The sequence below is a fragment of the Homo sapiens genome, chromosome 8 (assembly GCF_000001405.40).
Source record: "Homo sapiens chromosome 8, GRCh38.p14 Primary Assembly".
NCBI lineage: Eukaryota > Metazoa > Chordata > Mammalia > Primates > Hominidae > Homo > Homo sapiens.
The window spans coordinates 32131063-32153804 of NC_000008.11; the positions used below are offsets into that span (position 1 = coordinate 32131063).

Genomic DNA, 22742 nt, shown 5'->3' on the forward strand with positions numbered 1-22742 from the left:
AAATTAATTAGCTGAATTCTATACAAGGTACTAACAATACCTTAATTTCCAGATACATTTGTTATCAAAAATGTCTACCTTAATAAAGCTGTGGGGACTTACTAAGTGTATTTGCTGGGCATGGTTCCCAGTTATGAAATATTAATACCTTGAAAAATAAAACATGCTTATGAAAATGCAGTTATGCTCTCATTTTCAGAGGAATATGTAAGTGAGGAATAATATAGAAATCCTAAAACAACTGGAAATTCAGACTAAAATGAAGTAGACTGTAGTTTTGTCATTGCATGTTCTGCTCATACTAAAGCACCTATCCTCCCACTTTACCTTCTTTAAACTGCAGGGCAGAGAGTTATATTTTTCATCTTCATGTTGAGTAGAGAATCCATGAAAATCTAATACCCAGTTATCACTCAAGTGTGACAAATAGAAAGGAGCTTCAGAATAGGATCTTCAGTTCTACCAAATGTCTCTGCCTAATTACATCAATATCCATGTTGATGAGTGTACAAACCTGTGGCTAATTATATTTTCACTTCTTCTAAGGGTAGGTACACTAATGTGTGATCCCACAGAAAAGGGCATGAAAGTAAATTAAAGGTGTGTGCCATGTATATTAATGCCTTTGTGGTTATTATTGCTATTGTCTTACTCCCATGGATATTGGAGGATTGTTGATAAGACACTTAAATGTTGATAAGGCACCTAATGAGTATCCTGTGTGATAGGAGTAGTACACAATGATAATCATTTCCTTCTTTGTGCATTAGTATTGACATAGCCACTAATCAGGAACTGTAAACTCTAAACTTGTATCTGCAGCCCTCTTATTAAAAAGATTCCTGGATTTTTTTCCCTAAGCTAGAAACAGACAGACAAACAAAAACAATGATTAAAGGGCACTAAAAGATATATTTAAAGGCAGAGGTTTTTTTCCTATGTGTATAAGATTCAAATTAAATTCCTCTTTTTGGCTATTTGGACAGTTTTGGCAATTGGGCTGAAGCCACTATGTTTTTGTCATAACAGGTCAAGGATTGCTTACTCATGTTTGAGAAGCAATAATGATATGGCAAGAGAGAGGTAAGGGACTACAATGGGAGGCTTATTAGGAATTGTGCATGCCTCTTTCATGTGTGTTGTCTCCAAGCTAACCTTGTGAGGTACGAATTATGACTTCTTCCTGAAGGAGAAAAGCAAGTTTTAGATTAAGTGCCTGACATTCTGATGTCATAAAAAGACTGAAATAAGCAACATTTTAGCACAACATTTGAACAGCCCTTTTCTTAAGGATAAGCTCTTTGCTCTACACCATACTAATTTCCAAAAAGGTGTGAGATTGACATATGAAACTTGTACGTTTATATAAATGTGAATGCAGCAAGCCAGAGAACAGAATGTTCTGTAGCCCAGGCAAGAGGCAGAGGAAATACCCAGTGACAGATCTACTTGGCCCTCGACTAAAGGGGCGCTGTAACTTTAAAATACTAATAAATATTTAGCTTGGCTTTTTCTTTCCTATTTGCTAAGTCCTGTCTTGATTCTCTGGCTAAGGGGTGTAAGAAAGTGGCTGTTTGTGATAAATAGTTGTGTTTGTGTGTGAATGCATGGAAGAACACATCTGAGATAATATAGTGTTTACTGCTTTGCCATTAGCACAATGGGCTGTCTTTACAGAATATGATGTTTAAATCTATGCACCAGTGCACTTTCAAATAGAGAATTCGCTTCCTGTTTTCACTTAAAACTCTCTTTTTATTTTAATTAACGAAAAAGCAGTTTAATCATCCATCTTTGCAGCTAAGGAAGTTTTACAGGCTTATAATACTGTCAGATTCTGCGGTATATAAATGAGAAATAGACACTTTTGGGGAAGAAATTGGCCAGTCTTCCTTCCTTCCTTCCTTTCTTCCTTTCTTCTTTCCTTCCCACTCCTCCCCCCTTTCCCCCCACTCTCTCTCTCTTTCTTCCTATGAAGAGACTGTTCTAAAAGCTAGGAAGTTTCATTGATGGTGTGTGATTTCACAAGCTGGATTTTATTTCAGAACACCTGTCAAATTCAGAGCTGTCTGAAGCTTCTCCAACATCATTACCCCAGGGCTCCCAGTTCTATGCACATGTTTTTATAATGGCAGGAAAAAGAATTCATATACGCATTTGTGTGTTAGAATCAGTGGTGTGCTGGTGTAACAATCAGCTCCTAGAGGGTGAGGCAGGGTGGGTAGGGGATGTTTAGAAAAAGTGGGTATGGAGAAGTCCCTGAATTCTAGTTTTTGCCAAATTCTGTGATGCAAATACTCCCACCACAGCCAATTTCAAGGTTATTTTTCCCAGTTACATTTAATCAGGGCCATACAAGATGTTACAAGAAAGAAAATGACAGGAACCCATGTGGTTCAACTGATACTCACTCAGGAGCTGAGATAGCATTTCATTTATGCAATTCAAATAGCTATTGGTTTGGATACCTTAGTATTGTTTCTTCCAAGAAATATTTTCATTCTTTCCTAAAGGGATAATAATAGACATTCATGACCTAATTTAGGAGATAATCATTTTTTATTTTATCACTCATTATTAATGCTTCATACGAAAACTAGATTTATGAAAAGGCCCATGGATTTTACATCTATTATATCATCTCCTGTTGGTTTGAGAATGAAATGTTTGTTTTGCTAATATGTTTTTCTGATTAAGAAGTGGAGGCAGCAGGCTATTAAAAGTTTTTCTCAAGGCAGTAAATTGGTAGACTAGATATCTTCAAATTAAAAAGTAGTGATTTCTTAGGCCTGTTCATAGATTATTCAAAAATGGGTTAAAGCACAGGTTGAAAATACTTTTATGGGCCACAGGATAATTTAAGTGATTATTTTTCAGCCACTTTTTTTTGGAAAACATATATTAGCTAATGTCTGTAACTTTATTAACTTAAAAACAAAAGTCCAGATAAAAGAATTTTACACTCTGCCAAGCAGTGGTGCCCAGCTTATAGGTGGTTGGTTCTGCATCTTACATTTTGTTACTTGTAAGGTCTATGAAGAAAGGACTCCCTTTTCTGCCCTGCTCACTGTCAAAATTTCAGTCTCTACAGCATGAAGACTCTACATATAGAAGACACTAAAATTTTTTTTAAATATATGAATGAAGCAGTTAATTTAAGGCAGCAAAGTCACGCCTATACATTATTTCTGTAATGTTTAATTTTAAGTATAATTGCTTATTAAGTAGATAGGATGCTTAGAAACTATATTTACCTGGAAGTGGCTTAAAAATTTCCCTATAGACAAAAAATATAATTTGAAGTAGTTCGTCTTCAAAATAAAGGCCTCCAGATGGCCAGATACCTTTCATGTACATGCATCAATTAGACTGTACCAGAAGATAATAAAAAGAATCCTATTGTTTTAATTATCTCTTTTATTCTCCAAGGAACCCCTATTCCTGCCAATTCTTACAGACGTTATTAAGGCATTCAGTTAGTTTTTCATTCATTTATTTAAAAAATATTTATCATGCCAAGTACTATTTAAATGGTGGAGATACCAAAGTGAATGAGATACATACAAGGGGCCCTAGTTCTCAAGGAGCTCACATTCATGAGAAATTAAGTTCACACATGCAAGATATACCAGATATTAATAAGTATTACTCAGATCATTAAACTAGAATGAGGCCAGGCACAGTGGCTCATGGCTGTAATCCTAGTGCCTTTTAGAGGCTAAGGTGGGAGGATAGCTTGAGCCCAGGAGTTCCAGGATACAGTGAGCTATGATCACTCCACTGCACTCCAGCCTGGGTGATAGAGTGAGACCCTGTCTCTAAAGAAACAAACAAACAAAAAGTAGAAAGATTTGACCTGAGAATAACTAGATAGCTATTTTAGATCAGGTATTCATGAATAAAATAACACTTAAAGTGAGATCTGAATGACAGAAAGAAAAGCCATGCAAAAATCAAGGAGTAGGGTGTGCAGATTTCACAGATGGCAAATACCTAACATGGTGATGCTAAAGTCAGCATGAACCTCCTTCTGTTTCTTGAACAGACCACAGGCTGGAGAAGAAAAGGTAGGAAGAAGGCTGGTATAAGATGAGGGTGAAGAGAGAACCAAGGCCAGATCATGGGAGCTTTATAGCCAGGCTAAGGTGTTTATGTTTAATTCTAAATATAGCAGAATACATTGGAGAAGACTATGCTGAGGAATAATGTGACTTGACTTAAATTTTTAAAAGACTACCTAACTGTGTATGGAAAATGAATTGCATGGGACAAGGATGGAAACTAGTTGGGAGATGAGTTAGAAGATTATTATAGGAGTCCTTGTGGGAAGTGTTGGTGACTGTTGGAGGGTAGTGGTGGTAGTGAAGATGCATAGGAGTTTCTGAGCTTGTTTTGGAGGTAGAGGAGGCAAGATTTGTTAAAGAACTGGCTTAGCAGGGTGGGCACAAAGGAAATACAGAATTAAAGGATAATTCCAAAGGTTCCAACCTGAGCAACTAAGTAGAGGCTGGCATTTACTAAGATGGGTGAGATTGAGAGAAGGGGAGTATCAGGAGGCAAGATTACTTGTTATTTTTTAGCCATGTTTACATTTTTTTGAGATATCTTCTGAGTATCTGAGAAGAAATTTCAAGTGGGCAATTTGTTGGACAAGTTTTTGGTTCATGGGAGAAATTAGGACATGGATGCAATTTTGTGAGCCTGTAACACACAGCTAGTATTTAGAGCTAAGGGTCTATATGAAATCACCTAAATAGTACTTATAGATATGAAAGAGAAGGACAGAGCCCAGGGGTACTCTTACATTTACAGGTGAGCATAAAAAAGAAATCAAAAGAAACTCTAAAGGATCAAAAGCAAAGTAGAAGAAAACCAAACAGCCATGCGGGAGTGATTGTTGAGATGTTTTGAAAAAGAGAAGGTTGACAGTCATTTAGGAAGGTGAGGAATCAAACACAGTGCAGATGAGGGTGGTGTAGGGAGATCATTCTCTAGGTGCCCTTTGCATTTTTGCTCATCTTACGATCAGAGTCACTAACTCTCTTGGTTCAGGAGTTGGAAGATACAGTGGCCTGTTCCAGAGCAAAGGCAGGTTCAGTTGCTGTTCAGGATAATGAAGATAATGCCTCCCACTGAGGCAAAGATCAACAGAGCTTACTGCCCATTATAAAATATTCAGATTCCTTAAGCGCATGGTTCCTCTCCTATAATACAAACCTCTTGCAGGTACTGTTGTCACCTGGCCCTTTTCATATCACCCTGTGAGGAGTGGGGCCCAGAGAACCTACACAAATGCAAACACTTCAACCACTGCTATTGTCATAAAGTCCGTGGTCTCTGACCCAAAGTCTCATGTCCCCTGCTAGCATCCATGAAACAGTGGCAGGTGAACTTTGAAAACAGGATAGGCTAAAATCTCAGATCCTTCACTACTCTTCACAGATAGTAGGCCATTGTGATGGTCTACTTGAGCTCTGTTGTTGTGGTGGCATATCTTTCTGTACCGATATTCAGTTGGTTTGATGCAAGCATGGTACAGGTAGATGGGTTTATGCCTTAGATATTTAATAAGAATGCCTTAACACATGATCATATGTCTTCTTTCTTCACTGACAATGGCACCCCACTAATGGAGTGTGCAAATCCAGGAAGACCAGTGTTTGAACGTTGTGGGGTAAAGTGCCGATAGGTAAGCCCGCATATTTAGATATTTCTAAGAGGTTCTAAAATGATGAATACTTTCCTCAATCATTTGTCACAACCAAAGTCTATATTCTTATGCTTAGATGTCATAATTCATATTAAAGAATTGGGCCTTATATAACACCTTAATATTAATAGTACTTGGCTAAGCACAGACGATCAACAACACTTAATTAATGAAACTAGTTCTGAATACATTATATACTTTCAGGGTATATAAGGAGGTAATTACATTTTACAGAGGCATATACTCTATATCTGGTTTATTCGATTGTGAATCAATAAACATGGGGGTTTTTTTTAAAACATGATTTCTATGATGAATTTTTAATTTAATTGTAGGAAGCTCCTTTACCGCTGAGTCACCAGTGTCTTCTTGTATAATATAAAGACATTATGGCCTGGCATGGTGGCTCATGCCTGTAGTCCCAGCACTTTGGGAGGCCGAGGCGGGTGGATCATTTGAGGTCACGAGTTCAAGACCAGCCTGGCCAACATGGCGAAACCCTGTCTCTACTAAAAATACAAAAATTAGGCCTGGTGGTGCATGCCTGTAGTCCTAGCTACTTGGGAGGTTGAGGCAGGAGAATTGCTTGAACCCGAGAGGCCAAGGTTGCAATGAGCCGAGATTGCACCACTGTACTCTAGCCTGGGAGACAGAGTGAGACCCCATCTCAAAAGAAAAAAAATAAAATAAAAGACATTAGCCATCTGGAGCAGTTAAGTATATATTTTTCTATAAAGCAATTTAATGTAGATGATATTTTCTCTCTGTGTGTGCACAATTGCATGCATATGTCAAGTGTCGTGAGATTCCAAGTATTTGACGATCTGCTTCTTCTATAGACAGTTGGGTACATAAAAGGAGAGCCATGTGCAAATCCAGTCTCTGGTTCTAGGTTTATACCTCCTCTTCTCCACCTCCGCTTTCCTTGATAACCCCTGATGCACACAGCCAGCCATCCTCATCCCTCGAGATGTGGTTGATTTCTCTCTATTTGGGTTTCAGGAAATTGTTTTTCCTCCCTTCTGAGAGTCTATGCGCTGCTGCAGGCCAGTCAGTATTGATTCAATTCTGGGTGAATCCTCTCTCACTCTTTCCTAAGTGTATATTGTATATGTAGTTCTTCTGCCAAAAGCAGCTTTGTATTAAGATTGTATTAAGATTTAAGTTTTCTTAAATTTGCAAGTCACCTAAAATATATCCTGTGTCTGCTGGGATCCTTTTGATGTTGAAGCGTCTTGGAGTAGACAATAGAGGATTTTCATATGGTGGAAGAATGTTAGGTGTCCTTGTTGGAGAAGAGAGGAAGAGTAGAGAACCCCTTTAAAGCCCTCTTACTGCCTGTTCCTTGCATCTCATCTCTACATATTTAGCAATCACATCTGCTGATTTGGCAAACACTAACAGCAGCTACACAGCGTCAGTGAGGACAATAGTGAGTGGATTTAAACATCAGGGGCGATGTACCAGTGCAATAAATAGAATATATCATTGTTTCACTGCGGACAGAATGTCTGTGCTCTCTATGAGGATCTGCATTTAAGCCCAACACCCAAGGAAGGCAAACATCTAAAGCTCAGCATGGGGTCCTTCAAGCAGGGGAATACAAACAAAGCATTTTTCTCCCAAAACACAAGTTTTAGGATTTCATGTCAAAGACATGCTGCCAATCAGAAGACAGCATTCCCCCTTCTTAGAGCTGGAAATGGTAACCAGGACACATTGGTATGCACAATTCTGCTGGCTCAGAGCACACGCAAGCTCCTAGGCTGTGACTGGCAGGAGGCTCACAGCGATTTCTTTTTTTTTGAGACAGGGTCTCACTCTGTCGCCCAGACTGGAGTGCGCAGTGGTGCAGTCTTGGCTCACTGCAACCTCAGCTTCCCAGGTTCAAGCAATTATTCTGCCTCAGCCTCCCAAGTAGCTGAGTTTATAGGCGCCCACCACCAAGCGCAGCTAACTTTCTTGTATTTTTTTTAGTAGAAACAGGGTTTCACCATATTGGCCAGGCTGTTTTCAATGTTTTTGAACTCCTGACCTCAAGTGATCCACCCACCTCGGCCTCCCTAGGATTATAGGCATGAGCCACCATGCCCAGCAAGCTCACAGCAATTTTTAATGCAATATGATCAGACCTAATTTTGGCTTTTTGATTTCCTCCCTTAAACCTCAGGCAGGCACTTTTTCAAAAGAGAAATCAATCAGTCAATCAATCAGTCAATCAACAGTGAGTGAATGAATGACTAAATTGTTTGTTTTTAGCATGGCATAAAATAATCCTTAATATTTTGACCTCAAGCAACCATTCTGACCATATCTTCTTCCATGCGCCTTTGACTGAGTACCCAGATACATGCAGAGTCAAGTTTTCTAGATCACAGCCTTGTCCTCTAATTCAGTGCCTTGGTATGAAATCTTTCTTCTTCTATGTCCTTTTTTTGCCAGATGAAATTTCAGTCTTTATTCAAGATCAAGTGCAACTGTCTCTTTGAGGAAAGTCCTTTGACCGCCATTTCTCCCCTTCAGAAGGCAAACACCTGGGGGAGAAGATCTGCTTAAGGACCTGGTAACTGACAAAGAATGGAATGGGAGCGAGAACCGCCTAGCCATCCCTTCTCCTTGCACAGTCATGAAACAAAAGTTGAAAAGGAGCCTGGTTTTACTTGACCAGTCATAAATTACCATAAAATAAAATGAGATATTAGGAACCTTTGATCTCTGAAAAAGTAATATGTGTTGAAAAGAAATATCACTGTTACATATAGACAAATAATAGAAATATTTGAGGCATGCATTTAAAATGTAGAGGCCACTTATAGCAGGCATATTAACATGTGCATTTGCTTTTTAAGAAGTATACACACGTGTACCTTTAGCTTTGAAAGGGTAAGATTCAATGCTTGGGTGATGGATGCACTAAAGTCTCAGAAGCCACCACTAAAGGACTTACCCACGTAACCGAAAACAACCTGTACTCCAAAATCAATGAAATAAAATAAAAAGGTAAGATTCATAAATAGCAAGTTGAGAATGCATGTTTATACCATGTAGACAATGCATGATAAATTGTTGGCAATAAGACCCATGTAGCTGACTTTGGGGATACAAAGTAGCTTCTGAAAGAGGTTCCTAATTAGCCCTGCCTGAGGTGACTGCTTAAGGTATTTATCTGTAGCTGGAATGCATTGCCTCAGAGACTTGAGGATTCAGGAGCTATGAGTTTCAAGGCCACAGATGCAGTGGAATAGTAAGGCTTCTTCCCCTGCCTGGCACATTGACCTAACTGATGAGAGGTGCCTTAGGGACCCAGCAGCTATGGCCATTTATGTCTAGTCCCTCACTCTAGAAAGGAATTGCTTGAATACCACGGTGCTGGAGTTTGTAGCCACAATGCTGAAGGTCAGGGCAGTCCTTCATGATGATGCATTTCTGTCAGCCATACTTGCACATCTCTTTAATGTCTGCAATGTCATTAAGCAGTGGTGTATCATTTTTTTTTAATGCAGAAACTAAACTGATACTCAAAACCTATGACAATTTGAATCCTTCCTGCCTATCCAACCTTAGTTTTTCTGCTCGATAATATAAATTCTCCCTTTCAGTCAGGTAGATAGTCTTCCTGTCTTCCTGTCATTCTTGGTTTCTCTTTGTTGCTCTTGTCTTCCCCACCTGCTGAAATGCTTTTCTTCTTTCTTTCTTTTTTTTTTTTCTGAGAAAAGACCTCACTCTGTTGCCCATCCTGGAGTGCAGTGGCATAATGACAACTCAATGCAGTCTCAAGCTCCTGGGTCAAGTGATCATCCTTCCTCAGCCTACTGAGTAGCTGGGACTACAGGCATGTGCCACCACATCTGGCTAATTTCTTCATTTTTTTGTAGAGACTGGGTCTTGCTATGCTGCCCAAGCTGGTCTTGAACTCCTGGGCTCAAGTGATCTTCCCACTTCAGCCTCCAAAAGTGCAGGGATTACAGACATGAGCCACCCATGTACCTGGTTTCTCTCTTCTTTTCTAACTAATCAAGTACTTTAAGTCACAACTCAGGGTGACAACCTCCACCTCCATTGACTTCTCCAGAGCATTTCATTTCCTCTTATCCTTTCTCTGCACTTTGTTAGAACTTACATTCTGATTTGTACTGTTGACCTTTGAGCCCTTAAGTTTATGCACCTTCTCTCTCTCTCTCTCTCGCTCACTCTCTCTCTCTCTGTCTCTGTGTCTCTCTCTGTTTCTGTCTCTCTCTTTTTCTCTGTCAATTATTTTATTCTGGTATTTGGTACTTATGAGAAATCTTATTAGTATCCTAAACTCTCTCAAAACAGGAAATGTGTATTTTCCTTCTCATCTAATTCTTAGGAAACTTCATATAGGAATAAAAAATATGTAGTAGTGGATTGTCTGGTAAATGAATAAAAGAGGGATTTGAGGTCAGTGGGCTGTTTCAGGACATGACCAAGGAATGTGGTACCAGGGCAGCAACAAGCTTGCTAAGGGGCGATAAAGTAGTCATTGTATATAACAGAGGAATTTGGGCTCAATGCAGATTTGCCACTAACTCTTTGGCAGTATAGAATTCACTAGAGAAATATTAGTAGGTTAGTTAGTATTCCTAATAAAGAACTGCTAATACCTTATAGAGACATAAGCCATGTTTCTCGTCTTTCGTTTCTGAAATGAAATTTTGGCCAGGGAAACATTTTGCATCCCTTTTTGATGTCTACAAATGTGGCATTTGTCAGATGTGAGATAGTTAAGTGTGTGTGTGTGTGTGTGTGTGTATATATATACTTTATATATGTATATATACATATCCTATGTGTGTGGGTATATATATATATATATATATATATATATATATATATGAATGATGCATGGAGAGATATCTCTCCATGCATCCAAAATATTCACAACTTTTCACTAATATCTGAATAACATTTGAAAAATTGACAACTCTTCTGGCTAAAGATCAGCATACACATTCGTTCCACAGAGACTTGTGCCAAAATCTTGCTCAGCTCAAGGGGTACTGCACAATAAACAATAAGAAACTTTTATAACTCCGACTAATAGAACTCATTGCTTTTCCAGTTTGAAGATAAAGGATGTCTGCTTGCTTTCCATGCCTAATTTTCCTGATGCTGTAAAGCTGTTCAGGAAAGTTCCCACTGCAGGAGTTTTGCTAGTAATCTTCAGCTCCGTGGGAAGCCTTTGGACTCTGTTGCTATCCCTGAAAGTGGCTGTTCTTCTCCATCAGTTTCCTGGGCAAGGGCTCGAACCAGCTATTAGTGTCTATTTGCACTGCATGAAAACAAAATTTAATGTAAAGACGCTTATAGCTTGCCTACCCTAAAACCCCAGGAGTCTCATTCTGCCTGACCCTGGACATTTTTTGAACTGATAGAGGGATGGGTATCTGGTGGGTCTCTTCAGTCAGCTCATCTCAGCATGTTGAAAGTCCAAATGACCCTTGCCTGAGGATGGTGAAAGTAATTTGTATGTGTGTATACATAATCCTGCTTTTTCACTATTTCCAGTCACAGATTGCAGAGATAGTTGACTGTGCTTGTTAGTGTGAGTGTTAATAACTTTGCTATGCTGATTTTTAGACTTCCTATGCTATATGATCTCCCTGAAGAGCATGACAGAGCATTGCTTTGGAAAATCAATATTCGGCGTGATTATTCCTTCTTTCATGTGTAATCAAACTTTGAAGACCACCAATAGGCCAAATCTACAAGCATTAGGTTTCTAAACATATTGTTTAGTCAGGAGAAATTGTGTTTTCTAGCTGAGGTATGCCAGCTACTGGTATGGAGAAAATCTGCCTAGCAAATTGGAAGGGGCCAGAAGCTCAAATGCTATTGAGAACCACTCAACAATTCTTTTTTCTTATACACAGGATTGAAGCACAGAGCAAAAGGAAAATCCAGCTTTGGGATTTGTTCCCTTGAACTTACAAATGATTCATTAGACCAATGACATTGTGAGAATTTGGTCTCTGACAAAGAAATAAATGTTTTAAAAATAGTGCTAATACATAGGTACAAATACAGAATTATGTCAGGCATGTATTTTTTTAAAGATAGAGTCCAGTGAAAAGAATACGTGTTAGAATATGGATTAGGTTTCTAAAGGTATACTTATGTCTGCCTTCGTCTTCAGAAAACAAAGTTGTATGTACACTTTAAGAAAGGTCTTAGTGTGGTAAACGTGAGGCAAACCAAAGTCCTGTTACTTCTTTTGTCATATCATTAAAGCCTCCAGACGGAGGTTTCTTCCCATTATGTGATGTGCAGAATTTCAGATGTCAGTCAGCAGCTGAAGTCAACTGTTGGTCCACCAGGCCTCTAAGCTGCAGCCTCTGTCAGCTTGGGGACAGTGGGATCCATGTGACTTGCCTGCTACTGCCCTTGATTGGGCAGATCACAGAGCAGATGGCCTGTGTCTAGAGTACAAGGTGTTAAGGCTTTTTTTTTGGGGGGGGAAGAAATAATTCACATGTGCTAATATTCCTGGATGTTTCACTGATAATATAATATAGAATGTATGAAAAAATCAAAGTCAATTAGAACCAGAAATCTCCTGATACTGGATGATTCTATACATAAATATCTTGCACTAACAGCAAGAATAATAAAAGTTGTACAAAAAATGTCTGTTCTTCCCCAGACCATGAGCTCCATGGAGGCAGAGACCTTATTTGGTTGGTTTACTGCCCTTCCCCAATGTTTCTACCAAGCTGAACATGTATCCAGCTCTCAGTGCCCCATTGAGTTGAAATAAATTACAGTGACATAAACTATGTTCTTCATCAAATGCTGGACAAGCACGTTTCTCAGGCAACTTCTCTGGGATCAACATAAGAACAGGGTGATGAAATGTGAGAAGCAGTGAGGGCAAGGACTTGAGCCTGGTGCCTACCTAAAGTTTACACTCCACAAGTATTCCACCCAACACTTCAGATACCTTCTCTTCTTTCAAAGTCAACAGTTTATGCCCATTGAAAATAAATACACACACCCACTCATGCCCATAGGCATGTGTGTGCTACCAGAAAATATGTACATGTTAGGCTCTTTGGAAGCAGTGGTAGTTTGGTGAGAATTGCTGCATTGGCTCATCAACACAGACCTGATCGCACTTTGATTTCATATCTTGCTATGCAGGGCTCCCATTATCTGCCTGCCATTTGTGTGCATTTATGTTTAGCGTCAATTTCTCCTCCCATGAGGCTATAATCTGCCTTGTAAGGAGCTAAAATGGGAAAAGCAGTTAGAATGATGAGTCCAGTTGGAGCCTGCTGGGGAACAAGACAGTCATCACAGGCCAATCGGCAGTGGAGACAGGGTGGCCCTTATCACACAGAGGCATCTGGAGACTGAGAGAGACAAAGCAACACAGCTGCAAGCCGACCATGATCTGCTGGAAGCTTCTTCAGTCATAAAGCAAAGGACAGTAATTCTGAATGACAATGTAGGAAAACAAAAAAGAAGAAGAAAGAAAGAAAATGGTTGAGCCCAGACGATCATTTTTAGTTACGGATGTCACAAATGGTGATTGCTGGTAGTGAAGTATCTGAATCTGAAGACCAGCTGTATATAGTATGTGTGTTTATGGAGGTGTGTGTGTGTGTGTGTATGTGTTGGAGAAGACCTGCATGCCTAGTTGTAGCACTAGCCAGAAATTCTTGTTTCATCGTCTAGAATGTGGCCAGAGGTTTGCCTAAATTCTCATAAGTCCATTACTGTTCTTCTATAAATCAGGCTGCCTGTTTTGCATAATTCACCAGGTAATTCACCTATCACTAGGCAAGGCAGCTGCCATGGAGTGCATGCAGGAATTCCCTTCATTGACTCAGGCTGGTACCATTCTCAGCATTTTTGCTGTTTATATATTTTTATTTTGGTCTCGGTTTTCCTTTATCTAAAAACGTCAAGCTGGGATGGATCCTTGGAGATGCTCGCTTAAACAAGTTCATTACACTTAAAATAGTTTTACAAGCACAAGTGAAAATAATGTAATAATTGCAGCAGATTCTTAGACCTCCACTGGATCCTGGGTTGCCTGTTTCCTTTACTCAGTTCTAGTTTCTAAGTTTATTGCTGGGTTTTGATGTATGTATGTGTGTGTTAATTTTTTAATATAGAATATGAAGTTTGAGGGAAAACTATTGCCCTTATTCTTGTCGATTTGTTATTCGATCTTTTCTTTTCCTCTTTGTTGGTATGTGAGGAGTTGCAGAGCAAAGCTGCTGAGATCTTATATTTGACTGAGGTTTCACAAGCTCTGCGAGATATCCTAATCTTCAGAGTGACACCTGGTTTAGCCAACCACGTGGAAAAAACTAAGGGTTTAGATATAACCACATTCAACCACAGCCTTTACCTTCTCCCCTGTGCTTTGCTGTATCTAATGACGGCCCAGAAAGGTGCAAAGAGAGACTTTTCAGAAAAAGCATAAAAACAATCAAGAAGGAAAAAATTGCTTGGTTGTTTTCTGAGATACCTGAACCAGAAGCAATTGAGTATTTAGGTGTAACTTTCTATGACCTATTAGAATGAATGCCATTCTTATGGCTTAAATTTTTTTCAAGATGAAGAGGGCACTTATATAGACAAAGAATATATTTCCCATAAAGATATATTAGCACAATTCTAATTAATCTTAAATCTAAGTTTTTGTTCCCCAAGTCCAATACTCAGTCTAGAACATATGCCCTTTTCTGTGATGCCTGCTGGCCACCATGTATGATCATGGTATATTGTGCATTGTACAAAGTGCCCAGCCAAGGGCTGAAATCAACTAGTGCTCTACTTATGAGGAATTAATCCAGGCATGGCGCTGTGTCTACCCCAGAGGATGTGCCTTTTCTAATTTTCGTAAAGTTACTGCAATGGGCCAGCCCTGAAGATATACAGATAACAGAATCCTATGACTTTTAGATGACATTAGCCATCATGAGAGCCTGCCTCTCTGTAAATGGTGTTAGGGTGTTTATTATCAGCAGCATTGGGAATACAGTTGTTTTGATGTGTTTTCTGATGCCCTGTTCTAAAATTCACTACTTCTCTGCAGGCTTTGGAAAGTGGGAGTGTAACCACTGGTCCTTTGGGTTCTTTGTGAAGTTGTGCTAACCATAAGATGCCGCATACTCTCCTAGTGACCACAGTTTTTATGGGAGGTGATGTACAGCAGCAAAAGTCTAATGTAAATCTCATGTTGGTTCTTCCAGAGCAGGGGCAGCTAGAGTCTAATAATTTCTTGGGAAGAGTTTCTGTACCTGGAAATTTTAGATGTATATCAAGGACATGTGAGCAAATGGGAAATCTAATTGCCCAGTGCCTCTGGAGCAAAGTGTAGAGACAGAACCAGAATGTTTTTTACCGGCACATTTCTGTATTAAACTAAGGGAGGGAAGCTCTTTAACTATATGGGAACTTTTTCTCATTGGTTCCTTTAAGTGTCTTAAAAAAACTGATGTCTTCCTAAGAGAACTTGTGAAAGGTGGTAAAATGTTTAATTGGAACTTAAGAATAACTTCCTACTGAATAGCTTTGTTGATTTCACTTTCCTGTGGGGAAAAGATAGACATTGACAAAACTGTTTCGATGAGAATTAATCATAGCTGTAGATTTCAAGGTATGTTATGATACTAGGTTTCATCTCCTGGATCTTCCTCCTCTACATTAAAATGATTAGAATGATAAACTCAAGGCATATTAATGATCCCTAATCAATGTAAAAAAATTATCATTTCTCTTCTTTATGCTGTATTTACTGTCAGAAATACAGACATACATATTAGGAAGATTTTTCTTGAAGGGAATTGGCACAAAAGGGTTGAGACCTTTAATTAATCAAAAAATTGACCATTCCTTGAACCTTGATTGTTTGGTATCATTAACAAAGGACATGAGACAACATGTTCAAGCTTTATAATTTGCTGGAAATAATATTTTCTTTTTTTTTAAAAAAAGCAATTTTTTGTTGTAATTGTTAATCTTACTATATATTTGTCTCCTGAAAATGGTGTTATTTGCCACTCCTTCTACGTATTAATTGGTGTAAGCTCTTAAGTTATATAGGATAGTTTTAATTTCTCCAAAAAGCTGCCTAAGGAAAGTAAAACACCATAAAGAAAAGGGTATGTACCCAAGAAGTAGCAAGAAACTAAAGAGAAGAGATTGAGATATTATCATGAGAATTTAATAAGAGAATTAAATATCTAGAAAAATGTGTACATACTTAGAAGTAGTAAACATTAATTTCCTTTCTTCCATCTATAGTTCACCTCTAGATCACTCTTTTCTTTCTTTAGATCATCAGTATCCAAGATTGGAAAGAGTAAATGAGTGTTGATAAATGGGCACTCTCTTGTTCTGTTGATATAAGCTTAAGTTGGGGTAGCTTTTCTGGAGGACTGCTTGACAATATACGTCAAATTTATATTGTGATGTCCTTTGGCCATGCAATTTACCCTTCCTGGAATGTACGCTAAGTAGATAATTGAATAAGTGAAAAACCAAATGTCTTCATAAGGATATTCACCATAGTTTTGTTGAAAATTATTTACAAATTGGAAACAATCTAAATAAATGTCAATACAGGAATAGTTTAATTGCATATAGAACTGTACATACAATGTAATCCTATGCAGTCACTAAAAATGAAAATGTATAGGTGTATTGATTGCCCTGGGCAATTACCATAACGTATAAATGAATGAGTAAAAGTATCACAGAATAATACTCTTCCCTCCTAAGTAAATCCTCACCAATAAATCCTATTATACAAGGCAAAACCTGTATATTATCCCTATCCCCTAATTTTCATCATCTCTCATATCTAATCCACCATGATGTCTTTTTCATTCCTAAGTGTGTTTCAGATCATCCACTTCCCTCTAACTCTATCACTGTCTTCTGGTCCAAGCTTGGTATTCAATTAATACTTGTTAAATGGATTCTGAATATGATTCCATTCATAACAGCACACCTATCCACGTACGTATGTGAAGACACAGGTGCCTAGAGAGGTGTTCACTGAACTACTAATGGTGGTTTCCTCTTCTGTGGTAGAATTCAGCATTATCTTTATTTTTTTATTTGAATTTCTCTTGTTGTTTGAAATATTTTTAAATAATAATGTGTAATTTACCCCTCTCCAAAAATAAAACTTATAAAATGGGGATGATAACTATTATTCTACCTTTCTCACTGGATAAACATAGTGGTCAAATAAACAAATACTCGTGAAAGTCTTTTATAATGTGAAAACAAAGGTTTTTTTGTTATTATGTGCAATAATAATAATAATAACTATAGATACTAAAATTTGTTGAATATATTTCCTCAGTATTTTGAGTGTCTTAACTCATTTAAATCTCACAATAAGCCTATGATACTATAAATATACCCATTTCAAATATGAGGAAACTGAAGCAGAGACAGACGAAATAATTTATCCAGGTAGACACAGCCAGTAGAGCTGAGGCAGGATTTGACCCCACACAATCAGGCCCTAGGACCCAAGCCCTAACCACTGTGCCAAAATCATAATACCTGCAGGAAGTGGCAAATGTTGAACTTAGCTCCATATATCAGACTCTTGCCACTGTGAAGCCCTTACAGATAATTTCTTTTCTTTTTTGAGACGGAGTCTAGCTCTGTTGCTCAGGCTGGAGTGCAGTGGCGCGATCTCGGCTCACTGCAAGCTCTGCCTCCCAGTTTCACACCATACTCCTGCCTCAGCCTCCCTAGTAGCTGGGACTACAGCCGCCCACCACCACGCCCGGCTAATTTTTTATACTACCTCAGTTAATTTAGAAAGATTTTCAGGCACTGATGAATGATTTTGGGAGTAATCCCAAGCCAAATGACCTCTGTTGGAAGTAATTTAATAGATGTGTTTAAATATTAGAGGTGGGTGAGATGGTGAAGAATTAACATTTGAGGAACATTTGGTATCCTCTGGGCAATATGTAGACACCCTTTCAATAAATCCTCACAACACCCCAGTAAGTTATGTGTTATTTGTTTCTATTGTAAGTTGCAGTCATAGATAAGGAAACTCAGATATGTATTAAGTCATTTGCTCAGGTCTTTACAGCTATTAAGTTGCAGAGTTGGGAGCCCATCTAAACTCCTAAGATCAGGGTCTGGATCACCTCTATTATTTTACATTGGGCATCTATCATCCAGGACCTATGTGCTGCAGGAACGTAATTAAGAATGACTTTGACAAGATAAATATTTGGGGACATGAAGCCTGATCACAGAGTCTACCAGTTATGTGGACTTGGGCAAGCAACACCATGAACCTCACTTTTTTCATTCTCAAAGTGGGACTAATGAAATTTTTCCTGCTTCTCCAAAAGATAATTTTAGTCACTCTGTTGGTGAGTTTTGCAAAAACATTGTAGTATAAGCCTTCACAAGGAATTACAGAGAAGAAGATAAGTCTTAGCATTCAAGAAGCCTGGACTGTACCTGTCTCAAAATTATTTTATGCTAAATGCAGACAATTTTCTCTATTTGGAGTTTCTTTCCCATCTTAGTTGGCCTCTTCTCAGTTTTCTGAATGAAGCGTGCACCCTCGGATGTCTGGCCTTTACTCCTGCATGTCTTCCGGTCTGGAATACCTTCCCCTCCCTCAGGAACTTAACCAGCTTCAACATGCAGCCTTCCTGAACACTCCAACATGAAGGGATGCCCTTCTGTTCTAAATGTCCACTGCACTGAACAAATCATTTAATACAAATTTCTCTGTAGTTTATACAGAGGATTTGTGTTTATGGGCTTATATGTTTTCTTTAAAAATAAGTTATAAAGTTTTTGATGCTAGAGCATTCTTTTGTATCCCCAGGAGACACTCAGAATATATTTGTTGATTGTTTTGATTTTAAAGAAAAAGGCGGAAGAATGAGGTAAAATGGCCACTATCTGTCAGGAACTTCATATAATTATCTCTGCCCAGAAATAAATTAAAATAGTTTTCTTCAGCCAGTTGCAATAGCTTATAGAAAAAAATTACCTTCCCTAGATGTCAGTGTCCCAATTTGGAAAACAGAGTTTGGTCATATATTTTGTCCGCTGTTGTACAACCTTTAGAAACATAAAATTCAAGAGGAATACTAAATAAAAGGATCAATCAATACTGAGTTCAGCTTTAAAATTATTTCATCTAATAATGCTGGTTTTCTTGGCAGCACTAGCAAGGGCTAGAATTTTTTAAAAATCATCCTTATATATGTATTGATTGAATTTATTAAAATGCTTTATTACCATATCCATTTGCTTATAAGAAGGCACCCTGATGTGTCCTATATGAGTTTCAAAACACAATTAAATAAAACCATGCAGAGCAACAAACACTACGTAGCATTTACAAACTGCATTTGTATTCATTTTTATGTACATGAAGGGAAAAAAAACCCAAAAGGTTGAAAGCCTTCTGGAGTGATAAATGCCACAATTTAGTGGAAAATACACATTGTAATTTGAGAACATCTCCCACTAAGAGTCAGTGTAGCTACAGGGACAAGAAGCCTGGTGCTAAATTGTCTGAACATTGATGTCCCTTCAAAATTCATATGTTGGATCCTAGTACCCAGTGTGATATAATCAAGAGATAAGGTCTTTGGGGAACTGATTAAGTCATGAGGGGTTCTCCATATGCATGAATGGGTTCATGCTCTTATAAAAGAGGTTGAAGAGAGCACCCTAGGGCCTCTTGCCCTTCTGCTTCTGCCATGTGAGGGCGTAGCAAGAGGCACTCTTTATGAAGCAGAGTGAGCCCTTGCCAGACACTGAATGTGCTGGCGCCTTAATCTTGGACGTTCCAGCCTCCAGACTGTGATAATTAAATTTATTTTATTTCTAAATGACTCAGTCTAAGAAGTTTTGTTATAGCAGCCCAAACAGACTAAGACCCCTGGCCCACAGGCTCCTGAGCATCTCAGTGCCTTTGAGGCTATAAAGGACCTCGACCTTCACTTTCAGCACATGTTCAAGTAAAAGAGAAAAATGTGTGTAAAGAAGTGCCCATACCCAATAAACATACCCATATTTATTGCAAATTATCCTCTAAACTGTTTCATTGTGGTCAAAACCCAAGTTATAAATTTTTAGTGTCCTTTTAAGAGTTCAGTATTTGTCAACCTACGGTCAACATTTGCATCAACAAAGAAGGTAAGATATGTTGTGTTATCTTTGTCATTTTTCAGCTGTCAACTAGGATAGGGGCCAGAAATAGCAAAACTGTAAACTTGAAATTGTTTCAGGAAGAAGTGTAATAGCTAAGGGGTGTCTATGAAATGGAATGTATATCAATATGAGGTAAGACAGCTGGTAAAAAATAAAAAATTAGCAGGAGGGGCACCGGATTCATGTACCAGGGAAAATAATGTCATGTTCATTGCCCAGAGAGATTCCCAGGAATTAGAGATTGAGAAATATTATTTCTTGACATGTCTAGAGGCTACGTGGATAGAAGTTCTGGAAAATGTTTGAGATAAAGGCCAATAAAAAGCAAAAGGACCTGAGGATTCTGTTTATTCACTGAACAGAGAAGCTAAAAATTGGGCTCTCATTTTGGACAAAAATAAAAGCCATAGTAATAAGTAAAATAAAATAACCTACCAGGTAGCAGAGCTCTTAGCAAAGGATTCTGCAAGCAAAAGGCAGGTGTGAATTGGGAAAGTGAGTCTGGGATTGAGGTGAGGTGGGGTTAGGTGTAGAACAGGGCTATGAAGGTCAGGGCAGTGGAAGGTTTGATTCTGGAAAGCATGGCTTCAAGGGAAAACTTGAGTGGTGAACGGGAAAATCTGTGAGGATCGGAAATGTAAGTCTCTATACTTGCTGGGGAAATGAGCAAGAAATGAAAGGGAGAGAGCCAGATGACGCAGCTGGAAGCAGAAATCTGAGCAGGGGGAACCTGGCAACAGAGAGGAGGAGCTGGAAGAACAGGGGCAGATCAGATCTAGAGCCAAGCTGTATTCTCTGGCCCCATACTTTAATATTCTACCTATGAGGCGCAGTGCCTTTGGGTGTTGTTCATAAAATTCCAGTGTTGAAAAGGGTTTCAGACATTGTCCGTGAAGCTCCTCTATCCATCAAGCCCTTTGCAATATTTACAGTAAGGAAAGTGGGAGCGCTTCAGAAAGAGAGAGAGAGAAAAATGAAAATTCCTAGCCCCATCTAGACATGCCTTATCAGTGAGTTAGGCGAAGTGCACAAAATTTAAAAGTAAGATTCTAGTTGTTTGTATTTTAGCTATTCACGTTGCATCACAAGAGCTCCACAACTGGATTTAAATAATTGTTTCTGCCTTAGCAATCTTAAGTGTGCATGTATTGTTCAGCTATTCCTTTAGGGGAAAGATTGCTAGATGGGAATAAAATGGAAATGCTGTTTTCTAAAAGTTGTGGTCTTCATAGGGAGATAGCTCTTCACTTCGTGTGTTAGTGATGAACATTTGCAAGCTGTAGAGCTGTAGAGAACACTTTGTGGTTCTTCTATTTGAAGAAACCCTGATGGCTTTGTCACATATTCCAAGTTTAACTTTTATTTTTAAAGAGTTTATACATCATATTTGAAAAAGACTCAAACATGTCTAGAGTTATATGTTAGACACTAAACATACTTGAAAAAGATTTAAAACCTTGGTTTTAGTCATCTGTAAGTACTCTATTTTAAGGACAACTAATTAATACTTATAACTCAGATAATTCAGGAGACGATCAATGATTATGAAATAACTTCCTATGACATACTTTTAAATAGTAAATGCCTTCACTGCATGTAATTCACACATCAATATATACTAAACTATTTCCATTAATATAGCCAGTCTCCAATTTACAGGAAGACATTATGTTTCACAAGTTGATTTTAAGTGAATTTTTTGTAATATAGAAAGAATTGTCCCAAAGAGTGACTGCTGAACTGGTTAAATCCACAAAAAAAAGCATCACATGAATTCATCTACTAGGCAAATTTGCTCATCCACTTTCAAGTCAAAAAAAAGTTTTAAATTAGATAAAAACCTGTGTATCCCCTTTCTTAGTAAATTTGCCTGCTGTGATAAATATACACGTGCACACAAAAATAGGCATGCATTTTTAAGAGGAGTAGAAACCCATTTGAACTTGTCCAGGAACTCAAGTTTAGAGGCTCAAATGTAGAGAATACTAATAACCACCTATAATAATTCTTTTGGAGAAGGCATACTGTATTATGCCTAGTGCTTAATAGGACAGGGGATTTTTCATCTCTCATGTGCCTGGGAATGAGAGCCAGGGGCTTCCCCCAATTCTAAAAAAATTAGCAATTCAGCAGAATCTACAGTGGGGCCAAATTGTGGCTGGGATTTGGGGGATTTCATCAAAGTGGGTCAGAGGTAGAGGTGGAAGAGAAGCAGAAGGCCGGTGGGAGTAGGATACAGTACAGGGGCGAGCTTCCAGCTGGCTCCATCAGTTGAGGAAGAAGAAGCAATCCCAGGAGGTCCATACTCTTGATATTTTATCCCTCCTCTCACTAAGGACAGCTATGCCCTTTGTGATCTGCCCTAGACTGACTTTTTAATACAGAGAATGAAGGCCAGTACAGAAAGCAAGGAGAGAAAGAAGAGAAATAGATGCTAAGTTGTCCCCTTGAGGAAGAATGAGGGAAAATGGAGTTCCTGCCACCCTAGTCTATTAGCTGACATTGTTACTCCTAATTCAAGGTAATTATTGGTATGCAAAGAAAGTATGTATTAACTATATGTCAACCAGTAACTCCCTGAAATCCACTTGATGATAGAAAATTAGTCTATGGCCATATCACTGTGAATGCACCAAATCTCATCTGATAGCAAAATATTGCATACATTTCTTCTAGAAACTAAGAATTCCAATGAAAAGCTATGAAAGAATCCTACTTAGGTCTGAATTTCCATACATTCCTGGTATCTCAGAGGGTGGCAAGGTTAGAAAACTTGAGAATCTGTGGGCACACTAGGGATGAAGTGATAGTATTCTTTGTTGGATATCAAAAG

General features: G+C 38.4%; 1 protein-coding gene and 1 long non-coding RNA gene across 13 annotated transcripts in view; both read left to right on the forward strand.

The window, feature by feature from the left end:
* The window catches only part of NRG1-IT1 (NRG1 intronic transcript 1), a 113742-nt gene extending 105327 nt beyond the window's left edge, over nucleotides 1-8415 (forward strand). For all 3 annotated transcript variants that reach the window (NR_104158.1, NR_104156.1, NR_104157.1), the window contains one exon: nucleotides 8153-8415. This is a non-coding gene — a long non-coding RNA (NRG1 intronic transcript 1). The remainder of the gene's footprint in view (nucleotides 1-8152) is intronic.
* The window catches only part of NRG1 (neuregulin 1), a 1134802-nt gene that overhangs the window by 491818 nt on the left and 620242 nt on the right, over nucleotides 1-22742 (forward strand). The gene's annotated exons all lie outside the window — the stretch shown is intronic.